Here is a 23089-nt window from a genome sequence, read left to right on the forward strand (position 1 = left end):
GAAACAGTAAGAATGGGTAACTAGTTCTAGTATGAAACAATGCATCTAGATACCACATTCTACTTTTATATGTCTTTCAAAATAAACATGTCATATGTGAAAATTCTAATTTGACTCTCCATCAGCCATTATATAAAACATGTCACTCAGGTGCAGTGGCTTACGCCTGTAATCCCAGTACTTTGGGAGGCTGAGGCAGGCAGATCACTTGAGGTCAGGAGTTTGAGACCAGCCTGGCCATCATGATGAAAACCCATCTCTACTAAAAAGACAAAACTTAGCTGGGCATGCTGGCGCATGCCTGTAATCCCAGCTACTCAGGAGGCTGAGGCAGGAGGATCACTTGAACCTGGGAGGCAGAGTTTGCAGTGAGCCGAGACCGGACCACTGCACTCCAGCCTGGGTGACAGAGTGAGACTCCATCTTAAAAAATAAATAAATAAAAATAAAATAAAATAAAACATATCACTTATTGCTGTGGATATTCCTTCCCTCAGTCTGAGTGAGAGGCTGCTTCTGTGATGTAGAACAGCATCTTCTGTTTCCCCAACGTCAACCACAGTGTCTGGCATATGGTAGGTTTTCAGGTCATGTTTGCTGAGTAAATTGAAAATGAATGAACTTAATTTAAGCACTCTTTTCTAAAGATATGTAAGGGCTATGTGCTTCAGTACAGTTGACCTTTTTCCATTTAGGGTCCTTAAAAATGACAAAACTATTACAAATATTTCTTTATTAGTGGTAAAAGTGAAAAGTAGTATGACTTAGCTTTTTATGAACTTATATAGCGCTTCCTCCCATGATAATAATCACTAGTTATCAAAAGTAATTTCTTATAGGGCCGAGGGCAGTGGCTCTCCCCTGTAATCCCAGTGCTTTGGGAGGCCAAGGTGGGAGGATTGCTTGAGCCCAGAAGTTTGAGACCAACCTGGGCAGTATAGAAAGACCCTGTCTCTACAAAAGAAAATAAAAAATTAGCTAGATGTGGTGGCTCATGCCTGTCATCCCAGCTACTTGTGAAGCTGAGGCAGGAGGATAGCTTGAGCCCAGAAAGTCATGGCTGCAGTGAGCAGTGATTGCACCACTGCACTCCAGCCTGGGCATCAGAGCAAGACCTGTCTAAAAAAAAATAATAAATAAAAAATAAAATAAAATAAAATAAAATTAAGTACTTTAATTCAATGTTATGGGTGACATATTACCCTTGCCTGACTTTTTGTATATATCTAAAATATGGAATATGTACTCCTACTGGGGATTTAGTTCAAGGTCACTTAACAGAAAATATTGAATGGCACTAAGAACTCCAAGGTGATTTTATTCAGCAAATCTGATTCATTCCACCCAATGGAGAATATAAAGGATTATGTAACTTCATTATTCAAGATCCACAGTTTTCCCACAAAATAAATTGACCCTTGTCATCACAAAAGCCCATATTAGATATATCCATAGACGGTTCATACTTACCTTCTTTTCCAAAGATTATGTGAGGTGAAGAAAAACCTTTTTTTTGTAGATAGAGGATAGTAGTTACCAAGGGAGCAATACCAACATGTCACATTGGCACCTGGGGCAGCAAAGAAACCACCAAAGATATCAAACCATCTTGATGCTTTTGTCATGACCTATGAGGTAAGGAATCAGTCTCCCTGCAGTAATAAGCTTCTATAGAGAGTGTTGAACAAGTGGGTCACAGATGACACAGATTGGAGCAAGACCAAGTTTTATCAGGGCTCACTGTGCTTCAGGCAGGGCTGGCTACCTCTGATGTGTAGGTCAAGGAGACTTTTTTTTTTCTTTTTGAGATGGAGTCTCACTCTGTGGCCCAGGCTGGAGTGCAGTGGCGTGATCTCGGCTCACTGCAAGCTCCGCCTCCCGGGTTCACGCCATTCTGCTGCCTCAGCCTCCCAAGTAGCTGGGACTACAGGCGCCCGCCACCACGCCTGGCTAATTTTTTTGCATTTTTAGTAGAGACGGGGTTTCACCGTGTTAGCCAAAATGGTCTCGATCTAGGTCAAGGAGACTTTCATATCATAAGTCTATTGTGAAACAATTCCTATCTTATTCTTAGAAATCCATAGATACGAAATTTCTCTGTGCCTTTTATTGACTATGATAGAGAACTCTTGTGTCTTCCATGGTTTACAACATATAAGAACTTTGACGTTTTGTTTGTGTTTTCTCATCTTGGTTGAGAAGAAGGTTATAAGTCTATCAAGGCCAGGATTCATTGTTCTTTCTTGGTCAACTTTTGGAAATGTTGGTTGAAACTAATTCTAACTGTATTAAATCTGCAGAAAGAATTAATCCTTAAGACCTCATCAACAATCTTTTGTATAAACTAGACTTCTCTCTTTTAGTTAATTCTAGCCTTAGACATGAGGATCTTCTTGTATCCGCTGTCAAGCCATTAGTGCATAGCTGAGGTTACACATTCAAAGAAGATGGGCTTCCCAATAACATGAGTGATAGCTAATAAATTGCTCAGTCTTAATTCCAACTGTGCATTTTGCAATAAAGTTACTTAGCATAGAGTAGTGATTCTCAGGGTGTGGTCCCCAGGACCAGCAGCATCAGTACTATCTGCAAGTGTGTTAGACATGCAGACTCCTGAGCCCCATCCCAGACCTGCTAGATCAGAAACCTAGCAGGGTGAGGTTCATGGCCAAGTGTGGTGGCTCACACCTATAATCCTAGCACTTTGGGAGGCCGAGGCAGGTGGATCACCTGAGGTCAAGAGTTCGAGAACTGCCTGGCCAACATGGTGAAACCCCATCTCTACTAAAAATACAGGAAACAACAAAAAAATTAGCTGGGCATGGCGATGCATGCCTATAGTCCCAGCTACTTGTGAAGCTGTGGTGGAAGGATCGCTTGAACCAGGGAGGCAGAGATTGCAGTGAGCTGAGATCGAGCCACCCCACCACTACACTCCAGCATGGGCGACAGAGCAAGACTCCGTCTCCAAAAGAAAAAGAAAAAAAGAAAAAAAAAAGAAACCTAGGGGGTGAGATTCAGGAGATTCTGATGCAAAACAAACATAGGGCATCTTGAAATGATTATAGATTTTTTTTTCTTTTAGACCAGTGAACTTGTGTATTTTTCAAACTGTTGGCTGGTGATGACCTCAGGAATTTAAAAATGCTAACTGAGCCCAAGAGAATTCATTATCCTGTATTTACCTTTGGTAATCTGCCCTACTGCAAACTTTTCATTAAGCATTCATTAAGGGAAATAGGACTTTTGAGAACTAAATCTGCCTTCAAGCACATTTGTGTATAGTAAGGAACTTAGTATCTTTTAGATACATTCTGTTAGTGATGGAGTGTAGTTTTTAATATCTTCTAGAAAAAATACTATAATTAGAAATAATGTAATTTTACATGAGAATATTTGATTATTTAAAATTTTATATATTAATCGCATTATATAGTTGGAGCCAATGATTGGACATGTTGAGAAAATTTTAAAACATTCTTTGAACTTTACTTTTTTCTCTGAAAAATGAAATGAAATTCCACATCAAGTGAAAACTAAATTAAATGGCATGTGGAAGTATTTTGTAAACAGTAATTATTATTAAAGTGTTAGTACTTACCAAGCAATGCTTGATTTATGTTTCTTCAATTCTGATCTTAGCTGATTTCATACCTAAAATTGAAAGCTTGTAGATTTTAGAACTTTAATTACAGGTTTTATAATCTGTGAGTAAATGAAATATTGGATGGGAAAATTAATATCTAGCATCATGCAGGCCTGCTTTACAGAAGCACTAGAGTATTCCAGAGTATTACATAAAAGTAATACATTTTCCTTCCAAAACTTTAACTTAATTTTTTAAGATTGTAAATCAATACCTCTAAGGACAGCAGATTACTGAGGATAGTAGAGTATCTAGATCTAAAACATTCTTTCTTGGGTTATGTGATCATCATTGAACTTCAAGCACCTGGTTGTCTATGTGGTTTTACAAAGTTTGTTTTTGTTAATTCTCAAGACAGGGTTCCTATGGTTGGCAGAGCATCAGGTCAAAAAAACATGAGACCAGTTGGTTTATTAGCAGAAAACTCTGAAAAATTATCTCTTTGAGGAATGAGCTAAATCTTAGAATTATGAATGATGTTTCTAAAAATGCTGCCCATCATGTTCTTTATTAGAGCTTTTGTCTACTAGATTGCTGGACTTTCTCTTAGTAACAGTTGAGAAGAGAATATTGCTATCCTCAGTTAGTTAGTTGCCTAGAAGCCTCCCCCATTAAATGAAGAGCAGACTTACTAAAGCAGAGTGTGACCAGGTGGTGCAGTATGAGGTGCAGTTTAAGAAATTAAACATAGATGAATAATTGATACAGTTGTTAGTATCAATACTGTGCACACAAATTCTCAGCTAATATTTATGAATAAATATTATAGAGAGAACACTTTGTAAAAAGTCACAATGGTAGTTAACCCTTACTTAGGACTTACTATGGGTCAAACAAGTGCTAAGTGCTTTTTATATATTAACTCATTGAATCCTCATAGCAACCCTTTGAGCAAGTAAAGCTGGCAAATTGGGGTGCCAGAAATTGACATTGGCCTCTGGCTCCAGAACCTGTGCTCTTTATCACTCTATGCTGCTTACAGGTTTTAGAAATACACTAGAAGAGAAAATAATGCCCTCTTGAAAGAGTCTTTCAGGCCTGGAGAAGCAGATTCCTGCTCTTAATAAAGGTGAATGATACAATCACAAGCTAAAAGTGAATGCTTCTGTTTTCTCAAAATTAGATCTTACACTCCTACTTCTAATGGCAGAAAAGCCAGATTGAGCCATGCAAAAGGAAATGGGATGTCTTTATGTTCTTTTCTATAAAATTCAGTGATCAACAGACATTTATATATCATCTAACTTTGGCCAAGCACTGGACAGATGCATAGAGAGGAATTAGGTATGTTCCCGACTTTGAAGAATAAAGCCATCTGTAACACACTATGGCAAGTGCATATGAGCCATGCTCAGGGTTCTAATGGGAGCAGAGCAGAGAACACCTTATGGTGTCTGTTGTGTGGATCCCTCCCAATCTCCCTCATTCCGTGGTCAAGCTAAAACAGTCTCAAGGATGAATAGAGGCTGGTGTGGTGAGTGGGTGATATGGTTAACCAGCCCTCCAGAAAGAGAGGGCAGCATTTGGAGAGGTGCAAAGTGTACACTATGCTTTGCAACCTCCTTAACTCATTGGGAGTACTAACTAAATTACATATTCATAGACCCCATTCCAGATCCTCTAAATCAGAATCTCCAGGGGAGAGGCTTTGGAGACTGTGACTAACAGGGGCCCCAAGTGATTCTTATCAGGGGGTCTTGGGCAACAGAGGACAAGTGGAATACAGTTCGTTCATGAACATTGTTGGGATGAGTTTTGGAGAGAATGGTGAAGAATGAGATTAGGTAGTATGAAGGTCACTTTATGTCATGCCTGTCTTTTTGATTGTTCGGTTTTCTGTTTGTATCCTACCTAATGCTGCTACTTCTCAGGCATTAATAGGTACATTGAACTGAGCATTTACTTGGACAACTTTAAATTGAAAGCTTTGGACCTAAGCCCAATGTATAAGATTCCCACCCTTGACTTATCTGTGGCTTGAGAAACACTTAAACAGGAGAGTGGGGAAGAGGATGAGCATTGTTTATTTATAGCATGTCCCTTGACTATTAATCGTGTTTCATTTTATTTGTTAGAAGACTGAGTAGCTACTAAGTAGTACAGCTAATATTTGAGCCTGGACTTACAGAGTAGAAGAAATGTGATTTGTCAAAAAGTGGTGAGCAAAGTGCTCATTCCTTCATTTAAAACGGGTGAACTGCAAAATGCAGGGTTGGAGTCAAGGTCCATAGTAACCTCTGTTACCATATGAAGATGTGTGCCCACCATTCCCTTGATTCTTTTAAGAAAAACCAATTATCAATATTTTATGTGAATTTATCTCTATTTTAAAATCTTGCTTTTATATGTGTGTGTGTATACATGTATTTATGTTTATAAAACAAAACCATGTGCTTGCCGACACTCTGATACAAAATAAGTCATTGGGTAGAATTTTGCTGTAGGACTAATGGTTTGTGACCACTGTGTTAAATCATCTCTGAAGTCTAAGCCTTAAGATATTATGATTTGTGATAACGCTTGATGAGGTATGACTTACTGATTTGCTTTCCTATCATATCTTAAAGAAATTTTCCTCAATATTTATGTGGAGCTTTATTAATAACAGAGGCTTCTCCAAGTACTAACATACTTTTAACTTTGTTGGAAGTGACAGAGAAAGAGTGAAAGGCTCTTTCCTGACTACTGTGGGCACAGTGCTGCCCTCCCCTGAGCCTTCTTGTCCAACTGCTGTCTTTCAGTAATTTTCTACCATAAGATTCTGTTTTCTTCTTCTTTTTTAAATCTGATATTTTCAAACATTGAAAATATTATTTCTTTTTATTCGTTTACAAAAACATCCACTGAAATAAAATAATTTAAAAGATCTTTATAAATATTTTATCTTTAGCTCTCTGTAGAACAAATACCTATTTCTATAGGAAAAGCTTTCTGTGTATAACATTATTGACTGAGGGAGAAAGGGTTGTAAGGGGAAAATTTTGTTTTAAAAACTTTTGAATTGACAAATACAAATTGTATGTATTTATGGTGAAGAATGTGATGTTTTGATATGTGGATGTATTGTGGAATGGCTAGCTCAAGGTAATTAACATATGTATTACCTCACATACTTTTTATTGTGGTGAGAACACTTTAGGTCTACTCTCTTAACAATTTTCAAGTGTACAACATATTGTTACTGTATTAACCATAGTCATCGTAATATACAATAGATCTCTTCAACTTATTACTCCTTTGTAGCTGAAATTTTGTATTCTGTAATAGTCTGTTTTCTGCATTTGGGGTTGTGGATCTATTTAGGAACATGGATCTATCCATTTCCATGTATAATTTCAGCTTTGTGTGAAGCCACACACTATCAGTATCTTTTTACCAACATGTACACTAACATTAGTGGATCTTGAAACTAATTCAATGCATCCTAACTAGTACTAATATGAGAGAGAGAAGAAAGAAGATCCCTGTATGCATTGCAGGTGGTAAGGGTAAGAAATATTTCATAGAACTTTTGTTTCAGGGGTGTGTGTGTGTGTGTGTGTGTGTGTGTGTGTGTGTGTGTAAATTCTACTTTGCATCATAGAATGTATTTCTTACTGGGAGAGCAGTTAACGCATTTCAAAAGCCTCTGATCTAGGATGACTAAATAGATCCTTGGTCATTCCTGCCTAGTATAAGAGTTTAAATTTTAAACTAGCAATTTGAAAGGATTTTCATCATATGTTAATTACCTCCAAGCCTAGGCTTTTCTCCTCAGTCATTTCAAAGCACTTCTCTGTCTAGCTTAAATCTGTCCTCTGATCCAAGGGTCACTTTTCAGGAGAATGACAGTGCTGAAGAGAGAGTTCTTACAAAATGATGAGCTGCCCAGCCTTGGAGAGTAGGAGAGAGACTCTTGTAGGCTCTAGAAGGGGGCCATGGAGGGCAGTGAGCCAGCCCTAATTCTATCTTCACCAAAATTCCTTGAAAATGAAAAGAAGGAATAAAGGAGAAAGGCAATGTGGGAGTAAATAGAGAATCTCATGTACATTTAAAGATATTGAAAAGTCCTAAAGAGAAGGAGACCTAGAAATACTTTTGCAATGAAATGTTTTGCAGTCGTTATGGGCTTGTTTCTTAGGAACTGAGTGACTTGGGGAAAGATGTAGTTCTTGTCTGGGTTGTGGAATAAAAAGCTGATTGTTTCTGTGAACCAGTAAGTATGTTTGCTAGCGTGAGGTTATTAGTCAGACACACCACAAATTAGCAGAAGTTAACACCTCCTGTATTTGTTTCATGTTTGTTTAGTTAGTCCTGTTTGGACTCTCAAGAAATTGTATTTCAGAATTTAAAAAGGGAAGTGAGATTTAGATTGTTGTATGAGATTGTGGACACTAGAGGGATAAACATTCTTATGTCTTAGTAAGAATTTAATGGCAAGTGAATGCTTCCTTTTAAAGTTTCCAGAAATAAATCAAATTGTGCTGATTTCAACCTTTTAAAAAAAGTCACATTTGTCATAATGGTAACCTAATGTGCATTATGTGAAACTAATGAAAAGCACTTAGTATTTATGTTCAGTATTTTCTGTTATCTATTGATTCACTTATAAAGCACTATCTTATGTTCTTATTCTGGGGGAGAGTTCTAGATATGTTATGAACTACATTAATAACTCAAGCTGCCATTGTGAGCAGCCAGTTAAAAGAACCAAGCCACTTTTGTATGCTTGGTGAAGTAAAAACCAGCTTTTCAAATATACTTCGGAGGCAGACTTTTAAAAAATTATATTGAAGAGATAGTAAATGTTATTTTGGCCAGTCAATCTTCATTGATTTAGTTATCTATAAATAAATATTTTAGAGGCCAAAATCCAAAAGAACTGTTTTTTTTTCTTGTTCCTATTATTAGTATAAAACCGATGAGGCTGACATGAATATTTTCTCTCATGATAAGACGGGCTATCTATTGTGGGTCCAATATCCAGGCACAACTACATATACTCAGAGGCTGTTGTTCTTCCCATCAAAAGTGATTGTCTGCCTGTAATCCCAGCTATTCAGGAGGCTGAGGCATGAGAATTGCTTGAACCCCTTTCTTTCCTATTTTTGTTTTGATTAACAAACTCACATTTTGTTTTGATTAACAAACTCCAGGTAGGGCTGCATTTCTTGGAAAATAAGGAAACCTTAGAAATAAGGAAAATAAGGGAATATGTTATCAGTTTGATTTTGTTTTGTAGCAAAGCACCCCAAAACTTAATGACATAACATTTATTGATTCATAATTTGATGGGTGGGCAAGTCGGGCTGAGCTCAGCTGAGACATCTTTATTCTAATTTGTGCCTTCTGGGCACACTCGCTTGTTAGTGGTCAGTTGGCAGTCAGTGGTGTTATTTATGTATTTATAGAGGCTATGGTGGTAAATGGGGCAACTGAGGCATGTGGTGTGGGCTACAGTGGTTCCTAGAACAGTGAGAGAGAATAAGCTCCAGTGAACAAGCACTTTTCAAGCCTCTATTTGCTGTCTTGTTTACTAGTGTTACATTAGCTGAAGCAAGGCACATGGCCAAGCCCAGACACCACAGGTAGAGAAAGACTCTACCTCTTGATTGGCAGAGAGTTATGCTTGCAGAGATAGGAAGAATTTGTGGGCATTTTTGTAATCCACATAGAATGGGTTTTTTTGATGTCCTATGATTTATCAGACTTTATGCTATGTGACTTACCTGTTATTCATTTAGTCCTCAAAACAATTTCCTGACATGCCTGGCATTATGCCCATTGCAAAGATGATAAAACTGATGATCAGAGAAGTTAAGAGACTTGCACAAATTAAGCCCAAATTGTTTGCTTCAAGTTATGGAATGGCCTTTTAGGTGCTGTCTCTTGTTAAGCAACATGATCAGATGCTTAGCCCATGAGGCAGAAGATGTATGCTTTATTTGGTTAAAATGGAGTTCTAAAGACTACTTTTACTTTCTCCCTTACATGTTGAACCATTGGGTCATATATTTATTTGGTATAGAAAAAATATTAAAATTTCACTATCTTTGAGACGTTTCAGAAGCTCATGGAAGTGTGGTTTTTGTTTGTTTGCCAGGTCAGCTACACAACCTGGATCTTACCACAGTTTGGATATGACTGAGGCTCTCCAATGGGCCAGATATCACTGGCGACGGCTGATCAGAGGTGCAACCAGGGATGATGATTCAGGGCCATACAACTATTCCTCGTTGCTCGCCTGTGGGCGCAAGTCCTCTCAGACCCCTAAACTGTCAGGAAGGCACCGGATTGTTGTTCCCCACATCCAGCCCTTCAAGGATGAGTATGAGAAGTTCTCCGGAGCCTATGTGAACAATCGAATACGAACAACAAAGTACACACTTCTGAATTTTGTGCCAAGAAATTTATTTGAACAATTTCACAGGTACTGTTTTATTTTTGAAGAAAACCTTAGAATATCATTCTAGTTGATATATAACATATTTTTCATTTTCATAACCCTGTATATTACTTAAACCTAAGACATGTGACATCATCCTTGACAATTTTGATACAAATCTGTTGTGGAATGATGACTCCTCCCATTCACGTAGCACTTTCCAATTGGAAAGGTGTTTTCTCTTTACCAGAAAAGATATTGTAATTCACATATTATAGGTTAGGAAATGACTTGACTGTGGTTTAGCCAATGTCATGCCAATGTCAAGTAGCAGACCAGGGGCTGCCTCTGGGGGTCTTCTTACTCTTGCTTTAGTGTTCTTTCCATGAAACCACGCGCATTTTAATTTCAAATTTTTCTTACTGATAATAGGAGGAAATAGAGCTCTGAAGCCAGTGCAGATGTCAGATGTTTAGGTGAAACAGTGACCTAATTCAACTTAATATCTCATTCATGGACAATCTCCTGTGAGTTTAGGCACTGAAGGAAATGGAAGTGTGAGTGCCACTCCTCTCCTTGTGGAGTTTGCAGTTGTGCTAGGGAAACACAATATATACATATATAAAACAAAAAGACATAGGGAATGCAATGAGTGTTATAAAGGGCTGTCAAATAGAATGAAAGCCTCAAAAAGAGAAATAATAATGGTAACTGGAGCAATAGAAGGGGAAGTGACATTTGACTTAATAACAGAGGGTGGGTGAGATATTCAAAGCAGAGGTGTGAGCAAAGCATATTTCAGATGGAGGAAGGAGTATGAATAATGGCATAAAGGCAGTAGCATAAAAGGCTTGCTTGAAGCCTGGGAAATAGTGTTCTCTGACTTACATGTAACATCTGTGCTGAGGAGCAACAGGAAGTAAAGTCAGAAAGATAGATGTGACCCAGGAAAGAGGTCTTGCTATCAGGATAAAGAGTTGAGGGCCAAGTCTGCAGGCACAATTACCATGCTTACGTCAGTATTTCACTATGGAAGCAGTGTGGTGGGTAGATGAAAAGACTTAGAGATGATGGCAGAGAAAACATTTAGGAAGACATTGTATATATCCCAGTGAATTGTAATGGAGACCTGACCTTGGAACAATGTGGGAATGAAAAGAAGGGTGATCTCTTACAGATACTGTGGATTTAGTGTAAGACATTCAGTGAAAGGAGTAAAAAAGATGATGTGAACATGTTGAGCTGTGATGACCAGAAGTACTAACAGAAAAATGAAAAACAAGAGTAAAAAGAACCTTGGCTGGAAGAGTATTTTGTTTTTGTAAATGTATTCAAGACGCCAATGCAAGTAAAGAGATTCTCCATATTCTTTAGTCATTCCACATACATTCATTCTCATCATTCATTCTATATATGTTCCATATGCATTTATTAAATAGTGGCTATGTTTAAAGGACAGATTTGAATTTGTTGAATTAATGGCTATGTAGCCCTATGTGTGTTTCATTCTTTTATGGAGTTTGGAATCTAGTGTACCCAATGGAATAAAAACCTGAAACAGAGTTCAAGGTTAGAGCTATAGGTTTAGATGTGGTCCACCTGGAAAGAATTGAAGCCACAGAGTAGCAGAAAGGGTTAAGAAAGAAATTTTCAGAGTAAAAAGATTTGGAGGTGACAAAAAAGAAGTATATATAGATTATTCTTTTGAGAAGTTTCATGGTCAATGGAAAAATATGTTATCAAAATGTAATGGCAGGATTAAGATTTTGTTTCTCCTTTAAGGAAAAGGGTGTCTTGAACTTACCATATGGCCCAAAATTAGGGACCCATGGAGAAGTATTTGAATATATAAAGTAGAAGAATGGAAGAAGTTCCTGAAGAAGGTGGTTCTGAATAGCATAAAAGAAGAAATAGAAGAGTTAGTCACAAGAGAAAAGAAATAGGCTTTTCTACTCAATTTTGAGGCTTGTTTAAATCTAATGTTTGGATGTACAAAAGGCTAGAGGGTTGATCTTTATTTTGTTAATTAATTTTTATACCACATGAACTCTGAATTTCTTCTAAATTTTTATGAACTTTTAAAAAGAAAATAGTATTTTCTCTTGTGCTTTTTTCTATTTTTTTATTGTGCTCAAGACCGTCCCACTCAAATATTTACTATTTTATATTTAATAAATAATATCTCACATTATTTATTTATTGATTGATTACTCTACCCAGGCTGGAGTGCAGTAGTGTGATCCCGGCTCACTGCAGCCTCCGACTTCTGGGTTCAAGTGATTCTCGTGCCTCAGCCTCCTGAGTAGCTGGGACCACAAGCGTAGGCCACTACACCCAGCTAATTTTTGTATTTTTAGTAGAGACGGGGTTTTACCGTGTTGCCCAGGCTAGTCTCGAACTCCTGACCTCAAGTGATCTGCCCGCCTCGGCCTCCCAAAGTGCTAAGATTATAGCCGTGAGCCACCACACCCAGCCCTGATATCTCACATTTATTAAAGAATGACACAAGCCAGATGTCTAGCAGGGTAATAAATAGTTCATTAAGATTCATTGTATTCTGCTAGTTCTATATTCTGTAACATACAAAATCTACTAATAGAAACTTACAGAAAAACAATATAGTACTTTGCCTCTGACATCAGTCCTTGAAGTAACTTCTTAACACCTCCCTTTGTGTGTTTGGGTTGCAGAGCTGCCAATTTATATTTCCTGTTCCTAGTTGTCCTGAACTGGGTACCTTTGGTAGAAGCCTTCCAAAAGGAAATCACCATGTTGCCTCTGGTGGTGGTCCTTACAATTATCGCAATTAAAGATGGCCTGGAAGATTATCGGAAATACAAAATTGACAAACAGATCAATAATTTAATAACTAAAGTTTATAGTAGGTAAGTGTAATGGGACCTTTGCTAAGGACTATGTATGTATCATTGAGAAATATGCAGAATGTTACTTTTTTCTCCTTAGGTGTGACCAGGACCCTTTTGTGGTGGTGTTGGTGTTGTTGCTATTGTTTTCAACTAATATTTCGTAAAGTCCTATGGTGAATTTAATTCAAGTGTCAGAGGAAAACAAAAACGTATAAGCCATTGTCAACCCAGGAGCCGACAAAGCAAAAGCTTCTGTAACTCATGTATAAGTGGAATTAAAAGAATTAAACTTCAGGGCCGGGCGTGGTGGCTCACGCCTGTAATCCCAGTACTTTGAGAGGCTGAGGCGGGTGGATCGCCTGAGGTCAGGAGTTCAAGACCAGCCTGACCAACATGATGAAACCCTGTCTCTACTAAAAATACAAAAATTAGCCGGACGTGGTGGCAGGTGCCTGTAATCCCAGCTACTCAGGAGGCTGAGGCAGGAGAATCGCTTGAACCCAGGAGGGGGAGGTTGCAGTGAGCCGAGATCGCACCACTGCACTCCAGCCACTGCATTCCATCCTGGGCGACAGAGTGAGACTCTATCTCAAAAAAAAAAAAAAAGGAGGAGAATATTCTTTTTTGGTGTGCACAAAACTAGAGCATCCCATCACAGCAACAACAGAGAGCATTCATAGGAGGAGGTCTTTTTAGGGGCATATTTGCTGTGTTGGAGACTTGTATTTTCAGTATTTATGAAATAGAGAGTCTATGTAGCCAAGAATAAACTCAGTGAAGGTGAGTCTTAAACTGTAGTGTATATTATTTGCAGCTCCTGGGTTTTTATTCTTAGATGTAAGTTAATACTTAGTAAACCGTATAGACAAATATAACTTGTCTTCAATCTTATGTGATCCAAAGAGGAAAATGTTAGGAAAGGCTTCTCTGAAGAAGTGATATTTAATCTGAAAGCTGCAGAATTCGTATTTTGTTCATTATTAGAATTCTTCAGTGACTTTCACAATGTTTGTTTTTATGATCTATCAAGAAAACAAGGAAAAGAACTTTATTTATCTTTTGTAAGATGATTTGAGATTTCTTGGATAATGAGAAATTAGTTCTGTTTTTTCTCTTATACTCATGTCCAGTCTAAACGAAACCAGAAAAACACATGTGTTGTATTTTAAAATGAAATAATGGTATAAGTCATTGGTTTTCATTTAAAGGCATAGAGCATTTGACTAAAACAGTTCTATTAATAATTTAGTAACATTTGAATGCTTATTATATACCAGAGATAGAGAACTAAAATATCGGTACAGTCTCTAGCCTCAAAAAATAGCTATAAGAAACAATACTTTACAATGATTATGTGATGAACAAAGTCCAGAATTTGGCCAGTTTTAAGATTACCCAGTGAATGTCAAATTTAGCAAATGGAAAGAATGCTTATTATATATATTTTTGAATACAAATGCAAATATATAAATAATTTCAGGCCAGGTGCAGTGGCTCACACGTGTAATCCCACCACTTTGGGAGGCTGAGGTGGCTGGATTGCATGAGTTCAGGAGTTTGAGACCAGCCTGGGCAACATGGCAAAATCCTGTCTCTACCAAAAAACAACAAAAAATTAGCCAGGCATGGTGGGGTGTGCGTGTAGTCCCAGATATTGGGAGGCTGAGGTGGGAGGATCGCCTGAGCCCGGGAGGTGGAGGTTGCAGTGAGCCAACATTTGGCCACTACACTCCAATCCGGGCAAAAGAGAGAGACCCTGTCTCAAATGAATGAAATAATTACAGATCTTAATTGCAATTTGGAGTTGATAGTGTGTGTTTATTTGCTTTTCTAGGTTGTTCTACAACATTTAATCTGATTCTCTCAGTTAGCTGTGCAACCTTGGGCAATTTACAAAAAGCAGCTAAACACCCAGTTTCCTGTATTATGAATGTAATAATAAAACTTACTTCATAGCACCTAGTCTTTTCCAAGTGCTAGGTAAAAGCCGTTATGATTATTATTATAGGTTAATAATGACTATTTGCTAGAGTTTATGTTTGTCACATCGAGTCATTTCATTAACATTTGAGAACTCCTGAAAACACTGCACAATTTTTAAAATATTAAAATTACCCAGTGGAAGACCTGGTATAACTTTTTTCTCAGGTGTCCTTTTAGACATAGTCCAGATTGATTTTCATATAAACTTAAAGATGAAATGCAGTATTATAGTCAGTTATTTAATATCCATTCTAAGATGTTCCTTTATGTTTGTGTTTCTTAATAGGCTCAGGTAATTTTATGTGTTTTTATCTGTGTATAATATAATTTGCTTTTGTTTGGTATTGTAGAAGAAATAGTGCTTATGTTTTTCCCCCAGATCATTTCTGGAACAATTATTATAAGGTTATAAAGAAATAAAGATGGGATATAAAACCATGCCTTGTTGATTTAAATATGCTAATGTAAATGTATATGAAATACAAAGAAATCAACTTACAAATTATTTCTCCACAAATTTAGGGTGAAATTATGGGGGCTATTTAGCAAGTTTTTGGAAGAAGCATATTAACATTTCTAAGCAGATAATTTGGTTCTTTTTTGTAGTAGGTGGTGTTTCACAAGGCGCTTAATTTTCTATAGAAAAGTATCATTTGGAATAACAAACACTAGTCTAGAAATTAATCATTTAAACTCTATTATACCCCCAATTAAGTTAGAATAAGCTATTATAGAAAACCTGACTTTCTTAAGATTTCCCTTAAAATAGGGGCCACTTATAAGGTTTTAAAATCTGTTTTAACATAATGAAACTGTCTTGAAAATAAGACTATTAATCATTCAACAAATCTGAGTGCCTGCTATGTGGTAAGCACTGAGAGACTTAGAGGATTTAAACTAAAAATAGATACAATGTCTGCCATCAAGGAATGTACATTATTTTCTGACCTTTAAAAATCACCATGTTGTTGATGTTAGAAGTTTCAAAATATTAGTTAACATTTTAGGATTATCTTATAAATCCATAGAATTTCATGATTTGTAAAATGAGAACTTCAGTAGCCATCTAAGATAATTAACCTTAGTAACACACTTTACGAAACAAAAATTTTAGATTCTTCAAATTTTCTTGAAAATACACAATTAAACCACATTTTATTTGGTGGTTATCAGAAGTGACTGTAGCTGGTAGTAAACTCTAGTATTTGAGAGGGTAGACTCTGGATATACCTGCCTTGTTTCAATTTACAGGGCCACTTAAGAGCTGTGTAACATTGAACAAGTTACTTAACTTGTCAAGGCCAATTTTTTCTAATTTGTAAAAGTGGGGCTGTCCTGTTTTCATGATACCAACCACAACATTGATTCAAAAATTAAATAAGTTGATATATGTAAAGCATCTAATAAATCTTAGCTGATTTTGTGCCCAATGATAATTCATTATTTGCTTATTATAAATAATTCAGTGTTTTATTGGAAACATACTAAAAATACCAAAAAGAATAATTAATTCATAATCCTACCCTTTCTCTCTTTAAAGATAAAGTGAAGTAGGCATCCACATTCCCCACCCTTCATTCTTACTTCTCCCTTTTGTCCCTTACCAGCTCCCATCCTAGTGGAATCACTGTTAATCGTTCAGTGTGTATTAGTTCCAACTTTTCCCAATGCTTGTGTAGCAGAGCTGTTTGCTACTGAACTTATAAGAAACAAAATGGGCCTAGAAGCTTTCCTAAAGGAGGGATTGTGGATGCTGTGTCCTGGTCATTGAGAGTCACACACAAGCACAAACCACCAAGGAGATGCAACAAGTTCTAGTTGTGCATTTAGGCTCTGGGGAAAGAAGAAAGTCCTCTTACTAGTTTTAATTATATATCAGGAAAGGAAATGTAGCCTTATGTTTCCATCTCCCAACACTGTAAATGTTCCAGGCTAGTTAAATGTGGCTGTGAGCATTGTGGTTTAACCTGTGGTTGCTTTCCCACCGTGCTCTCTGAAGCCTTCTTTATTCCTCCACTGGGACTGATGTGCTGTCTCACCTTTCTTTGCCTGATTCATTCTTGAACACCCTTTAAGACTCAGTTCGGGTATCACTTCCTCCAAGGCCCAGTGCCCTTCCTGTTTGCCCCCATAGTAGCCTGTAGACAGCTCCCTTTTAGGAAATTGCTGTTTGTGTCTCTGTTTCAAATTTTGACCATAACCTCTCTAGAGTGGGGACCCTATCTTAATCATTTTTGTGTATTTTGTACTATGCACCTAACATGGTAACTGGGATATTAATATCGGTATATGTTTCTAGACCTGAGCTAGCCAGTGATTGGGAAAATTAGCTAGTGTTTTGTTTTGTTTAAATCTTGGTACATGCTACAAATGGGGAAAAATGAAGTGAATTTGAATGTGAAAGTGACTTCATTTGAGTTTTCTTCTAATATAGAGAAAGAAACTTGTTCCTTAGAGCAATGTTACTTCTTATATTTGCAAGAATATGAAATTCCTAACCCAAATGTCAAAATCTGTCTCTCTTTGGGCCTTCACGAGTTCTCAGCAAATTTCCTCCTGGCTTTCTTCAGATAGAAAGTAGAGAGCAGTAAGCATGAATTATGTACCTCAAATTATACCATCTGTCTTTACCTACTTTCTTCTGACCTTAGATGAAGAGGGAATTCCCTTTCTTGTAACAGTAATCCTTCCATCTGTATTTTTCATCTCATTCCTGTTGCTTCTCTCTAGCTTCAACCAGCATCTCCTCTCCCTCCTTTTTCTTCCACCTTGCCTTCTGCATTGGCTTCTCCCCTGCATCCTATGTGCATGCCCAGTTCGCTCGTCTTTACTGTCCTTTGACTTACCTTCCCTGGCAGTGGCTACCTTCACCCCTTATTCTTTTCATAGGTAACCTTCAGGAAATATTCTACTTCGGTAACTTCTTTTTTGTTTTGTTTTGTTTTTTGAGACAGAGTCTTGCTCTGTCTCAAAAACAGGTTGGAGTGCAGTGGCGCAACCTTGGCTCACTGCAACCTCCACCTCCCGGGTTCAAGCGATTCCCCTGCCTCAGCCTCCCGAGTAGCTGGTATTACAGGCATGCACCATCATACCCGGCTAATTTTTTGTATTTTAGTAGAGACAGGGTTTCACCATATTGGTCAGAATGGTCTCAATCTTCTGACCCTGTGATCCGCCCCCCTCGGCCTCCCAAAGTGCTGGGATTACTGGCATGAGCCACCGTGCCCGGCCTCTGTAACTTCTAATTACTCCCTGATTCACAGAGATTACACTTTCTTCTTCACTCTTCCAATCAACAATTTCACGTTATCAACTTTCTCCAAGGCCACCAGACCTAACAGCCAAATACTGTAGGCAGCTGGGTCTTTATTATACAGGACTCCTCTGTGGCTTTCAACTATTGTGACTCCCTCTTATAAATTTCCTTCTTCCTTGATTTCTGAGACACCACTTATCTCGGGTCTTCTTTCACCTTACTATCACTTTGAAGACTCCCTGAGAAACCTTATCCTTACCTGGAATCAACTGCCATCTATGTACCTAGGACTTCCAAATCTTTACTCATGATCTCCAGATCAGGACCCTCAAACTGCTGGGCAGATACTTCAAATAAAAGCTTTTCAAACTGAAGTTATCTCACCTGTGATACAACCAGTTGCTTCTAAAATCTGAGACCTGTGACAGCACCATCCATCACCTCATAGTACACGTTAGGAACCATAGTGTCACCCTGGATAATTCCTTTACCTGTAGTAAGTCCAAAAACTTGTTTCCGGTACCTAATATGTCTTGATTTCATCTTTTATGTATCTGTGTCGCTACTGCCTTAATTCTGACCATCTTCATTCCTCCCCTGAATTATTTCAATAACTTACCGTTGGTCTTTTGGCCATACTCCTAAATAAACTGCCATCCAAAAATCCATTCATTACTCTGTCTCAGGAGTTGGCAAACAGAAGTATGGTCACATCCTTCTTTGTCTGGACCTTTAGTTACTCTCCATTTCCTATGGAATGAAATTCCTACTCCTAGATATGGCATGGAGGACCGAACTGTCAAAATAATACCCCTGCCTACCTTTTTTATCTTTGCTCTGTTACCTGCCTCTATGGAAGAATGAACTGATATGCACAGACACTAGGGAAAAGTTTGGAAAAGACAAAATAAACTGTTGATTTGCCTTTCTCCATGGACCAATAAACCCTTCAGATAATCAAAGATTTCCTTTGTTGGTTTCAACCTTGTGCATTTGGTATGTCCTGAAAATGTACTTCTTAGGTAGCCTTTTAAGCTAAATATTTCTTGAAAGAGCTGATATAATTCTGTATGGCAGAATTTGTTAAAGTATTTGTGTAAGGTGTGATTGCTATTTAATCTGATGAAATAAAATAAGTGTATTTTGTTATATTTGTCACAAATATTAGTTTTTTATGGATATTTGGGAGACAATGAAGGAATAAGACAGACCTTGTTAACTTTTGTTGGTGGCATCATATGTGAAATGCCACCTAACTAGCTAACATGACACATGACATTCTACTATACAAATGTCCTCATTTTACCCTAGGGAAAATGACATTCTACTATACAAACGTCCTCATTCTACCCTAACGAAAATGTATCGTGGAGCATAATGGTAACCCATCCTATCTGCCTGATGGGAAGTGCTGTGAGCAGATGATGTGTCTTATGCATCTTCAGATCCTTGGTATCTGACCACAGAGCAGCATGAAGGAATTACTTTGTATCTGAATGAGCCCATCAAATGTTGATTGTAATTTTATTCCAGAGTTAGACTCAAACAGCATAATGGTTCAAAATCCCACAGGAAGAAAGAGCTGAGAAATATGTTTCAGTGGCTCAGTAACTAAATTTTCAGGTGAAGCATTTGTGGAATTTAGGGGTTGCCAATTCTGCGGCTTCCCTTTTAGCATTTTGTTTGTTTGTTTTTGTTTGTTTGAGACAGCTCTGTCGCCCAAGCTGGAGTGCAGTGGTGTGATCTAGGCTCACTGGAGCCTCCACCTCCTGGGTTCAAGCGATTCTCCCGTCTCAGCCTCCCAAGTAGCTGGGATTGCAAGTGCGTGCCACCATGCCCAGCTGATTTTTGTATTTTAGTAGAGACAGGGTTTCACCATGTTGGCCAGGCTGGTCTGGAACTCCTGACCTCAGGCGATCCACCCATCTCGGCCTCCCAAAGTTCTGGGATTACAGGCGTGAGCCAACTTGCCTGGCCCCTTTGAGCATTTAATAGATTAAAATTTACCCTAATACTTAATATATACTTTAAATTATACGCTAAAAAATTTTTTAAAAAAAACATTGTATGTATTTTTCACTTGATATTCTTTTTTTTTTTTAACTTTTTTTTAATTACAGGAAAGAGAAAAAATACATTGACCGATGCTGGAAAGACGTTACTGTTGGGGACTTTATTCGCCTCTCCTGCAACGAGGTCATCCCTGCAGACATGGTACTACTCTTTTCCACTGATCCAGATGGAATCTGTCACATTGAGACTTCTGGTCTTGATGGAGAGAGCAATTTAAAACAGAGGCAGGTGGTTCGGGGATATGCAGAACAGGTAAGTCATATGTTCTCAGTTAGTGGCTTATTAACATTTTTTTTCAGAAGATGACTGAGCTCATTTTCACATTACAGATAAAGAGATTTTTAATTCATTTTCACCAGGATGAAATAGAATCCCAGAAGGTTTCATTCACTTCCAGATATGAGTGGAAGTATACTCTTTTCTAGATAAGAGGATAAAATGACTTCAGAATTTACACACTTTAGTGTAGCACTCATATTTTTGAGAATGGAATTAAAGGAACCTAACAGAATTATTTTTCTTAAACTTAGACTTTGTATCTTATTTTTAGTTATCATTATTTCTAAAATCTGTAATTACTTATATACCAAAGCTTAAAACTTTAGCAGCTTTTCATGCTACATAGCTTTTAGACGCTTCTCAGTATTGTGCAGACGGAAACAGAAACCTTGAAGTTATATTGACATAGGTTTAAATGAATCACAACTCTGCTATTAATTTACTGTGAGACTTTGGACAAGTCATTTAAACACTTTATGCCTCAGTTTTATTATCTTAAAATGAAAATGATGGTATCTACTCTATAGCATTGTTGTAGGATTCAAATGAAATAGTACATATGTTTTCATATGTATTATTTGAATTTCACTATGTATGAAAACAGCATATATAGTGTCTAAATAGTTTCCCTCCCCTTTCTCTGGAAGCATTTGAGATGAAGTATTTTACAATTTAATGATTTTTGTTGTTGTTGTTGTTTTGAGACAGAGTCTCGCTCTATAGCCCAGGCTGGAGTGCAGTGGCGCAATCTCTGCTCACTGCAACCACCGCCTCCTGTGTTCAAATGATACTCCTGCCTCAGCCTCCTGAGTAGCTGAGACTACAGGCACGTGCCACCATGCCCGGCTAATTTTTTGTATTTTTAGTAGAGACACGGTTTGACCGTGTTAGCCAGGATGGTCTTGATCTCCTCACCTCGTGATCCATGTGCCTCGGCCTCCCAAAGTGCTGGGATTACAAGAGTGAGCCACTGCGCTCGGTCTATTTTTTTTTTAACCCAAACTACTGTTAAGTCAGGGTTACTCCGTCTTACACTTAGAAACCAAAAAAAGTGGTTTAGCCTACTAATACCTTTATCTTTGGTAAATTTCATCTTGTCATATTGGGCCCACCTCTCTACCTATGGATTTCATTTAGATCCTCTGTGATTGATATGCCTCCTAGACTACTGTCATTGTCACTTCTGTAAGTAGTCTGGTACCAAAGACATTGGTAAAAATCCTGCACTACTTAACGTTCTGTTGTACCACTACACACCCACTATGAGTATTAATCAGCAATTAATATTTGCATTAAAAGTAATGGCAAAAAGCATGACTACTTTTGCACCAGTCTAATACTAATCAGCACACTGTGCATTCATTAAGGGTGAATCTGGTGACCTCGATTGTAATCCTGCTCTAAACACTTTCTTGTTTTGAGAACTTTGGCAAATTACTGATCCTCTTTGTGTCTCTTTCCTCATCTGTTAATTAGACCCAATTATTTTAGTACCTACCTCATGGAGTTGTGAAGAAGAAATTAGCTAATATATTTAAAGTGCATAATAGATTTTAGTGCGTCGAAAGAACTCCATGGATATTGCTCATTAGAAAATAAATCATATCATATAATTCACATTTTCATGTTTCCTATTATATACTTATTAATTATGATATATCAATATCAATAGCATTTATCTTACTGGTCAAATGGATATGAAAATAAAAGTAATGAAATAAGGTTGATGTGGCTTGTTTCAGGGGAATCCATACCTTAAAGGAGCTATGTCCTACAAAGGCACTTTGCTTATTTGTTCATTGTTTTCATAAAGAATTCTGAAATTATCTGTCTGATCCATTAGAAAATATTATAGATATTGATGTCTAGTTTATTTTTAAATGTTTTATTTATAAAATTTGGCTGAGATCAAATGCATATATTCTCGGAGTGTTCACATATACATTTAATCTCAAAAACCACTTATGTGATTAAAGACCAACAACAAAAGTATTTTCAGTTTTTCAGTGCTTTATTGATAAAAAGGTGTTTATAAGTATAAGCTCTCTTCTGGGGAGTCCTGTGTGGATTTCGGTAAATGACTCAGTCATTCCCATCACCTGCAGATGTTTAATAATGCCCTAGGACCATTCTGATCCCAAATATGGATCACATGATTATGCCTCTACTTTCCTTCCTTTGGGAAATTCATGATATGAACTTCATTGCAAAAAGGCTTAGCATTATTTTAAGAATTGATGAAAGTGATAAAACACTTCAATATTAAGGGTTTAACCTTGAATTCTTATTTTGTGATTCAAAAAATATTTTTAGGACTCTGAAGTTGATCCTGAGAAGTTTTCCAGTAGGATAGAATGTGAAAGCCCAAACAATGACCTCAGCAGATTCCGAGGCTTCCTGTGAGTAATACATGATGAACATTTGTGGGTGTAAGTGGAATTGTGTGTTGCAATCGTACTTAATTTGATAAAGTGTTTCTGTGCTTATACCCTTGTTAAATCACTAAAGGTCGTAACTTTAGCCACCTACTAAAATAGTTTGGCTTATTTTAATTATTTAATAAGTATTTATACACACACACATACACATATAATATTCATTCTGGAGGTATCTTGTGGCAT

At 37.4% G+C, this 23089-nt stretch overlaps 1 protein-coding gene across 1 annotated transcript in view; it reads left to right on the forward strand.

Annotated features, from left to right (window-relative positions):
- The window catches only part of ATP10D (ATPase phospholipid transporting 10D (putative)), a 108212-nt gene that overhangs the window by 17501 nt on the left and 67622 nt on the right, over positions 1–23089 (forward strand). Inside the window, exons 2-5 of the mRNA NM_020453.4 lie at positions 9729–10055; positions 12701–12895; positions 20237–20441; positions 22782–22867. Coding sequence (NP_065186.3) covers positions 9766–10055; positions 12701–12895; positions 20237–20441; positions 22782–22867 — 776 coding nt within the window. The 5' untranslated portion in view covers positions 9729–9765. The remainder of the gene's footprint in view (positions 1–9728; positions 10056–12700; positions 12896–20236; positions 20442–22781; positions 22868–23089) is intronic.

This window comes from Homo sapiens, chromosome 4, assembly GCF_000001405.40.
Source record: "Homo sapiens chromosome 4, GRCh38.p14 Primary Assembly".
Lineage (NCBI taxonomy): Eukaryota > Metazoa > Chordata > Mammalia > Primates > Hominidae > Homo > Homo sapiens.